At 40.6% G+C, this 8,786-nt stretch overlaps 1 protein-coding gene across 3 annotated transcripts in view, besides 1 other annotated feature; it reads left to right on the top strand.

Annotated features, from left to right (window-relative positions):
* The window catches only part of TNFRSF10B (TNF receptor superfamily member 10b), a 48,899-nt gene that overhangs the window by 2,912 nt on the left and 37,201 nt on the right, over positions 1-8,786 (top strand). The window lies entirely within an intron of this gene.
* Positions 950-2,149: an enhancer, noted in NCBI's record as "P300/CBP strongly-dependent group 1 enhancer chr8:22921484-22922683 (GRCh37/hg19 assembly coordinates)". NCBI's record gives its function as "activates an origin of replication core promoter dependent on BRD2, BRD4, P300/CBP, MED14 and CDK7 cofactors, with strong dependence on P300/CBP, by STARR-seq in HCT116 cells {active_cell/tissue: HCT116}" and the evidence as "EXISTENCE:reporter gene assay evidence [ECO:0000049][PMID:35650434]".

Raw genomic sequence — 8,786 nt, 5'->3', positions numbered from 1 at the left:
GTAGAGACGGGGTTTCACCATGTTGCCCAGGCTGGTCTCAAACTCCTGCGCTCAAGGAATCCTCCCACCTTGTCCTCCCAAAGTATTGGGATTACAGGCCTGAGCCACCGTGCGCAACCTATGATTTTGGTGGTGGTGTTTTTTGTTTTTCTGTTTTTTAAATATTCTTGAGTATATTTGTAAGCTTTAGATGACCTGTTTTAAGTTATTTAATCTATCAACACCATTATATCTGTTATTACGGCCACTGTTTCTGTTGATTACATTTTTTTTCCTGCCCATAGGGACTTTTTTTTTCATGCATAGTAATTTCTTATTGCTTGACATTGTGAATTTTGCTTTCTTGGGTACCGAACATCACTGTGTTCTTTCAAAGTCTATTGGGCATTATTCTGGTCACAGAAAACTGAGGATCAGTTTGCTCCTCTGATACTAGCTTTTATCTACATATAACTATATACCTTGTGTTCAGTTGCCTTATTCAGGGGCTCATTTAGTTAACTACTAAAGTTATAGTGGTTGACTTCTGATGGTAACTCGCCAGCACCCTGGCATGCGTTCTGTCCACTGTGGGAAGGGGAACATGCAGATCTCCCAGCCCTGAGTGGTCCACAATCTAGTCTCTCCTTCCCTGGGTGGCTTCTTCTCAGGCACCTAGAGTCAGTCTCAGCAGACACTGGACATGTCTTCTGCAAGGATCCAGAGTCCTCCAGGCAGCTGCTTCTCCCAGTCTCTGCCCTGCACTTGGCCTCTGGGAGTTCCTGCCTGTGGTTCTCAACAGAGACTACAGAGCTCTACAGGGTCCTCTGCCCCTGCTGTAGCTGGAGGCTGTCCTTACGCAGTGAGCTGAGGCCACAGCTAGTCTCACTGCATGTGCTTGGCGGCGGGGACAGGAGTGATTCATTCATCAGGTAGAGGAGGAACCCTTTACTCTGGGAAAATCTGTGCCTGGGTTGGGGAAGGACAAATGAGCCCTGTGTGAATACTGACTACTCCCTGGAGCCCACAGTCTGGTGGAGCAGGTGACAGCAGGGACCTAAATAACTATCAGGAAGCATGAGGTCCCACCACTGTCACCTCCCCCACCTCCAGAGTGGCTGTGCTGGCTCCAGAGATGTCATCCCTCCATATTTGACTGACAGAGGGAGGCTGTGCAGTCCCAAGGCTCCAGGTCATGGTAGTTTGGCCAGGATAATATGGTTTGCTTAAAATCAACATTGAGGGTAATGATCGTACTAATCAGAGCATGTGTTTAAAGTTCTGTGTTTTAAGCACTTTCCATACATATTAACACTTTCAGTTCACACAACAACCTATGCAGGAACTGTGATTATCCTGGGCAGTTTTAAGGATGTGGGTGACTCAGAGAGGAAAGAAGAGGTTACTCGGGTTAATTTTTGACGAGAAATATTAGCAGGTTTTATGCTCAAACTTGGTGTAAAGCAAGGAGCCTGAATCACAGGTGGGTGAGTCACAAGACAGGGAAACCCCGCCAATGGCTCATGTCCGGGAGGAGGCAGGGTCCCTAGAATTCAATGGGACAAGAACTGAAATAAGCCAAACCCCTGACCTCCCTTCTTCTTGTTTTCCTTCTCTCTCTTAACCATGCCCATGGACACCCCCATGAGCCCATTTCTGTGGCCCAACACAGCTGTGCATCTCTGGCCACACGCCCATTCTCCCTCAATCAGAGAGGCCCACGGACGGCACAGCCTCGTCCTGCACAGCAGAAAGAGTGAATGGTGATGAATGGATCTATATTATTTCAACTCTCCTACATTTTGTAATCATATTACAATATTAATTCAGCAGTACCTCTCTTGTTTTTACTCCCCTCCCCCATTACACTGGATTCCTGTCTGTCTGGGATTCTGTCTGTGTGCACTCTTTCCTCTATGTCCACTACTGTCCCTGCCACCGATGGCATTTGTCACCTCTGCCTGGGCAGCCCCTCCAGACTCTTTGCAAGTTCATGGACTTTGGGGTTAATGATGGCTGTGCCTCAGCTCCTGTGAATGGAAACTGTGCTAAGGAAAGGAAGGGCCGTGCCATGTTCCCGATACTCCACGGCTCCTTGCATATGCGGTCGCCAGGCGCCTACATGCCTTCCATGAATGAATGAATGAGTAACGTGGATTCTAGGAAGCTGCACTAACCCAGACGTTGTGTCCTCAGCCTGCTCATAGAGTGTGTTAAACGTGAGAGGTGGGGAGTGTGGCAGGCAGGCTGAGGACAGAACAGAGGATCTGAATAGAGTACGGAGGATCACCCAAGTCCAGAGTCACCAAGGCCATTGTCAAGTTTTCCCCGGGGACATCCCTCATCAGATCCACCCATTAAAGATCATTGTTCACCCAGTGGAGAGTGGACTAGGTGGGTGCACTCAGGTGTGGCCTGGACAGCATTCGGGATGGGTCCTAGTGGTTAGGGTGAGGGTCAGGTTGCATTATCGTGAAGGAGGCAAGTGGCAGCTGAGGCAGATCTGAGGGAAATGATGATAACGCAGGCCGGTGATGCAATGGGTTTGGTAAGAAGAGGAAAGAGGTTTGTGGTGGATTCTAGTGTTTCTAATCTGAGACTTGGGTGAGGTCATTACCAAATAAGAAAGAGTAAATGGGCATAAATGGCTTTAAGAATTAGGAACCTGAATGTGCTATTGGAGACAGTATGGGCACGTCATTGCTCATAGACCTGCAGTACACAAAATGCTAAAAGATTTCAATCTGAATAGAGATGAAATGAAATGGAAACATGGATTTTTTTTTTTTTTTTTGAGACAGTTTCACTGTTGCTGCCCAGGCTGGAGTGCAATGGCGCAATCTCGGCTCACTGCAACCTCTGCCTCCTGGGTTCAAGCGATTCTCCTGCCTCAGCCTCCTGAACAGCTGGGATTACAGGCGCTTGCCACCACACCCAGCTAATTTTTGTATTTTTAGTAGAGACCGGGTTTCACCATGTTGGCCAGGCCAGTCTCAAACTACTGACCTCAGGAGATCCACCGCCTTGGCCTCCCAAAGTGCTGGGATTACAGGCATGAGCCACCTTGCCTGGCTGGGAACATGGATCTTAAGGAAAGAAGGAAGATCATCAGGAATAGAAATATGAATGCACATATAAAGAATGATTATTTCCTCTTAATTTCTTGAAAATATTCACTATCAAGTAATATAACACTTTGTAGGGTTTGTAACATATGAACATGCCTGAGACAACTATAGCAGAAAGAATGAGTAGTGGAGATGAATCAATCTGTATTATTTCAAGTCTCCTACATTTTATAATATTACCATATTAATTCTGCCATACAACTCAGTAATGAAAAGGAATGGAGTACTGATGCATATGAAAATATGACCGAATTTCAAAATAATTATGCTGAGTTAAAGAAACCAGACAGAAAAGCATATATAGTATCTGATTCCATCTATGATATTTATAGCCAGAAATGGTTTAATTAAAAAAGAAGAAGGATCTTAAATCAACGAGCTAAGTTTACAAATGTAGGAATTAGAAAAAGAATGAACCAAACCTAGAGTTAGCATTATAAAGGAAATAATTATTAGAAGAGAAATAAATAAAACAGAGAATAGAAAAACAGTAGAGGCCGGATGTGATGGCTCACGCCTATAATCCCAGCACTTTGCGAGGCCAAGACAGGAGGATTGCTTGAAGCCAGGAGTTTGAGACCAGCCTGGATATGGCAAAACCCTGTCTCTACAAAAAATATAAAAAGCAGCCTGGCCCGGGGGAGCACACCTGTGATCCCAGTTACTCGGGAGGCTGAGGTGGGAGGATCACTTGAGCCCCGGAGATGTAGGTTGCAGTGAGCCAAGATCACATCACTGCACTCCAGCCTGGGCAACAGAGTGAGACTCTGTCTCAAAGAAAGAAAGAAAAAGAAAAAAGAAAAACCATAGAGAAAATCCACAAAACCAACATTGATTCTTCAATACTATTAATTAAACTGACAGAATTCACTAGTGAATTCTAACAAGCTTTTAATGAAGAGCTAATACCACTACTTCTCAAACTCTTTCAAAAACTTGAAGAGAAGGGAACCTTTCTTGACTCTTTCTGTAAGGCCAGCATTGCTCTGATACCCAAGCAGATAAAGATATTACAAGAAAATAAAGCTATATCCCAGTATCCCTAACTGATGCAAAAATCTTCAACAAAATACTATCAGAGAGAATTCAACAGTACCTTAGATGGATTATACACCATGACCAAGTTGGATTTATTTCCGGAATGCAAGAATGTTTGAACAAATGAAAACTGAACAATGTAATACATTGCATTAATAGAATGAAGGGGGAAAAAGACACATGATCATCTGAGTTGATACAGGGAAAGCCTCTGATAAAATTCAAAGCCCTTTCATGATGAAAACACCCAGCAAACTAAGAATAGAAGAAAACTTCCACAACATCATAAAAGCCATGTAAGAAAACCCCACAGCTAACATCATACTCAGTGTTGAAAGACGGAAAGCTTTTCCTTTAAGATTAAGAACAACATAAGGATATCTACCCACCTTTGCCACTCAGCATAGTACTGGAAGTTCTAGCCAAAACAGGCAAGAAAAAGAAATAAGAGCATCTGGACTGTAAAGGAAAAAGTAAAATAATCTGTGTTTTCAGATGATATGATCTTACTGGTAAAAAATCCAAAAGATTTCACAAAAAATTAAACTGCCAAAAATAAAATAATATTAAATTTTTAAAATTTTGAAATTTATTGTTGTTCAGTAAAAGACAGTACAGATTGCAATCTGGGAGATTTCAAACCAAGTGGTAAGAAACTTGCCTTACAGCAGGTATAGTACAGGCTATAAAGGAGGATGTATTTTGACAATTTCATGATTGACTTATAAATTTATATTCTTTTTAAAGGCAATCAGAGCTGTTTAAGCTGATTTTTCTATAGCTGCTTGATTTAACTTCACTGAACCATATTATGTCATGATGAAGGTGTAAAACTTATATTTTGTGGGATTTTTTATGATTATAGCTAATGTTTCAGGGATATCAGGATGTCTTAAGTTTTGGCTACATGGTTATGGGTAATTGCCGTGGGGTATATCTAAACTGTGTTTTTAATTTTTATTTAGTAGTACTAAAATGAATTCATCAAAGAAGCGGAATACAAAATCAACTGGAAAAGTCAATTGCATTTCTATACACTACCAATGAACAATTCAAAAAAAGAAATTAGGAAAAAATCCATTTACAATAGTATCAAAAATAATAAAATAGGAGTAAACTCACCAAGGAGGTGGAAGACTAGTACAATGAAAACTATAAAACATTACTGAAAGTAATTAAAGAATACAAAAATAAATGGAAAGATATGCCATGATTATGAATTATAAGACTAATTATGTCAACATTTCCTAAAGTGATCTATACATTCAATGTAATCTCTATCAAAATCCCAAGGACATTTTTGCAGAAATGAAAAAATGTATCCTAAAATTCATATGGAATTTCTAGGGACCAGAATATCCAAAACAATCTTGAAAATGAATAAAAATGTAGTAGGATTCACACTTCCTGATTTTCAAAACTTCCTACAAAGCTGCAGTAATCAAAACAGGATGGTACTGACATAAAAGCAGATAAATCGATCAGTGGAATAGAATAGAGGAGCCAGAAATAAACACTCACATATATGGCCAAATTATTTTTCACAAGGATGCCAAGACTGTTGAATGGAGGAAAGGGCCGTCTTTTCAATGAAGGGGGCTAGGAGAACCGGATATCCACATTCAAAAGAATGAAGTGAACCTTAGCCTAACATTGTATTTAAAAAATAGCTAAAAACAAATAAAAGATGTAAATGTAAGTGCTAAAGCTATAGAACTCTTGAAAGAAAATATAGGATAAAAATTCTGTGACATTGGATTTGGCAATAATTTCTTGGATGTGACACCATGGACATAGGCAACAAAAGAAAAAATAAACATTTTGGACTTCTTGAAAATCAGTAACTCTTGTGAATCAAAAGATACTATTAACTGGATAAAAAGGCAAAACCCACAGAATGAGAGAAAATATTTTAAGTTATATATCTGATAAGGGCTTAATATCTAAAATATATAAAGAATTCCTACGATCTAACAAAACAAAAACAACCCAGTTAAAAATGGGCAACTGATTTTTATAAACATTTCTCCAAAGCAAATATACAAATGGTCAATAAGTATATGAAAAGATACTTTAATCACTAATCATTAGGGAACTGCTGGTCAAAACGACAGAGATACCATCCTATACCCATCAGGATGACTATTATAAAAAACACACACAGGCCGGGTGCGGTGGCTCATGCCTGTAATCCCCACACTTTGGGAGGCCAAGGCAGGCGGATCACGAGGTCAGGAGATTGAGACCATCCTGGCTAACATGGTGAGACCCCGTCTCCACTAAAAAAAAAATACAAAAAAATTAGCCCGGCGTGGTGGCAGGCGCCTGTAGTCCCAGCTACTTGGGAGGATGAGGCAGGAGAATGGCGTGAACCCAGGAGGCGGAGCTTGCAGTGAGCTGAGATGGCACCACTGCACTCCAGCCTGGGCGACAGAACGAGACTCTGTCTCAAAAAACAAAAACAACACACACACACAATAAGCATTAGCAAATTTGTAGAGAAGTTGGAACCCTCGTGCCCTGTTAATGGGAATGTAAAATGGTGCAGCCACTATGGAAAACAGTATGATAGTTCCTCAAAAGTAAAAACAGGATTAGCAGATGATCCATCATTCCCACTTCTAGGTATACGTCCAAAAGAATTGAAAGCATGGTTTCAAACAGATATTTGTACACCCACGTTTATAGCAGTATTATTCACAATAGCCAAAAAGTGGAAGAAACTCAAGTTGGACAGATCAATAGATAATGTGGTATATTCATACAATGGAGTATTACTCAGCCTTGAAAAGGAAGGAAATACTGGCACATGCTACACAATGGATGAACATTAAAGACATGCTCAGTAAAATGCCATTCATAAAAGGACAAATGAAATAGGATTCCACTTGAGGTACCTAATGTAGTCAAATTCATAAAAACCAACAGTAGAATGTTGGATGCCAGCGGTTGTAAGGAGGGAAGAATGGGAAGATGAAATAACTTCTGAGGATGGATAGTTGTGATTATTGCACAACAACATTAATAAATGTAGTGTCACTGAACTATGTATTTTAAAAGATTAAAAGATAAGTTTCATGTTATATATAATTTACCTTAGTTTTAGATTTAAAAAAACAGCATTTATTTTAGTCACTATAACAATTACACATAAAATGGAAATATTGTTGATTTAAAAAGCCAATGCACAAGCTGGGCACGGCGGCTCACACCTGTAATCCCAGCACTTTGGGAGGGTGAAGCGAGCAGATCACCTGAGATTGGGAGTTCAAGATCACCCTAACCAACACGGAGAAACCCCATCTCTACTAATAATACAAAATTAGCTGGGCATTGTGATGCATGCCTGTAGTCCCAGCTACTCGGGAAGCTGAGGCAGGAGAATCGCTTGAACCTGGGAGGCAGAGGTTGTGGTGAGCCGAGATTGTGCCATGGCACTCCAGCCTGGGCAACAAGAGTGAAAATCCATCTGAAAAAAAAAAAGCCAATACACAATTAAAATGGGATTCTAAAACATACTCAATTAACATTAAATATACAGGTAAGAAGGAACAGGTAAAAAATAGAATGGACAAAAATTGGTAAAATTATAGAACTATTTTGGCTATAGTAATAATTACACTAACTGTAAATCCACCAAACACTATAACTCAAAGGTAGATATGGTTAGAAGGATGAAAAAGCAAGACTTAACTACATAATGTTTATAAGAGATGGAATTTTTTTTTGAGACAGAGTCTTGGTCTATTACCCAGGCTGGAGTGCAGTGGCGAGATGTCAGCTCACTGAAACCTCCTCCTCCTGGGTTCAAGCGATTCTCCTGCCTCAGCCTCCCAAGTAGCTGGGATTACAGGCATGCATCACCATGCCCGGCTAATTTTTGTATTTTTAGTAGAGATGGGGTTTCACCATGTTGGCCAGTCTGGTCTCGAACTCCTGACCTCAGGTGATCTGCCCGCCTCGGCCTCCCCAAGTGCTGGGATTACAGGCATGAACCATTGTGCCCAGCCAAGAGATGGAATTTAAAAGCAAAATGCAGGTATAGTAGGAGCAAATGGATGAAAATAGATATACCATTCAAGTAATAAGCCTAAGAAAACTGCTGTGGCTATCTTAATATCATATGAGGTGGATTTTAAGGTAAAGAATATTATAAGACATGAAAAGGGACCTTTGTAGTGTTAAGAGAGTTAATTCATCTGGTAGACATAATAATCATAAGATATATGTCCTCAATAATAGAGCTTCAAAATAAATGAAGCAAAAATTTACCCAGCACTTTGGGAGGCCAAGGTAGGCGGATTCACCTGAGGTCAGGAGTTCAAGACCAGCTTAGCCAAAATAGAGAAACTTGTCTCTACTAAAAATACAAAAATCAGCCAGGTGTGGTGTCATACACCTGTAATCCCAGCTACTGGGGAGGCTAAGGTAGGAGAATCACTTGAACCCAGGAGGCGGAGGTTGCAGTGAGCCGAGATCATGCCACAGCACTCTAGCCTGGGCAACAGAGTGAGACTCCAATCTCAAAAAAAAAAAAAAAAAAAATTACAGAATTCAGAGGAAATTATAATACACTGTTCTAAGCAATTAATGGAATGGTTTGACAAAAATATTAGTAAAGTCATAAAAGGGCCAGGCGCG

This window comes from Homo sapiens, chromosome 8 (genome assembly GCF_000001405.40).
Source record: "Homo sapiens chromosome 8, GRCh38.p14 Primary Assembly".
NCBI classification, from domain to species: domain Eukaryota; kingdom Metazoa; phylum Chordata; class Mammalia; order Primates; family Hominidae; genus Homo; species Homo sapiens.
Note: the sequence above shows the minus strand (reverse complement) of the source record. Positions and strands in the feature narration are given on the sequence as shown.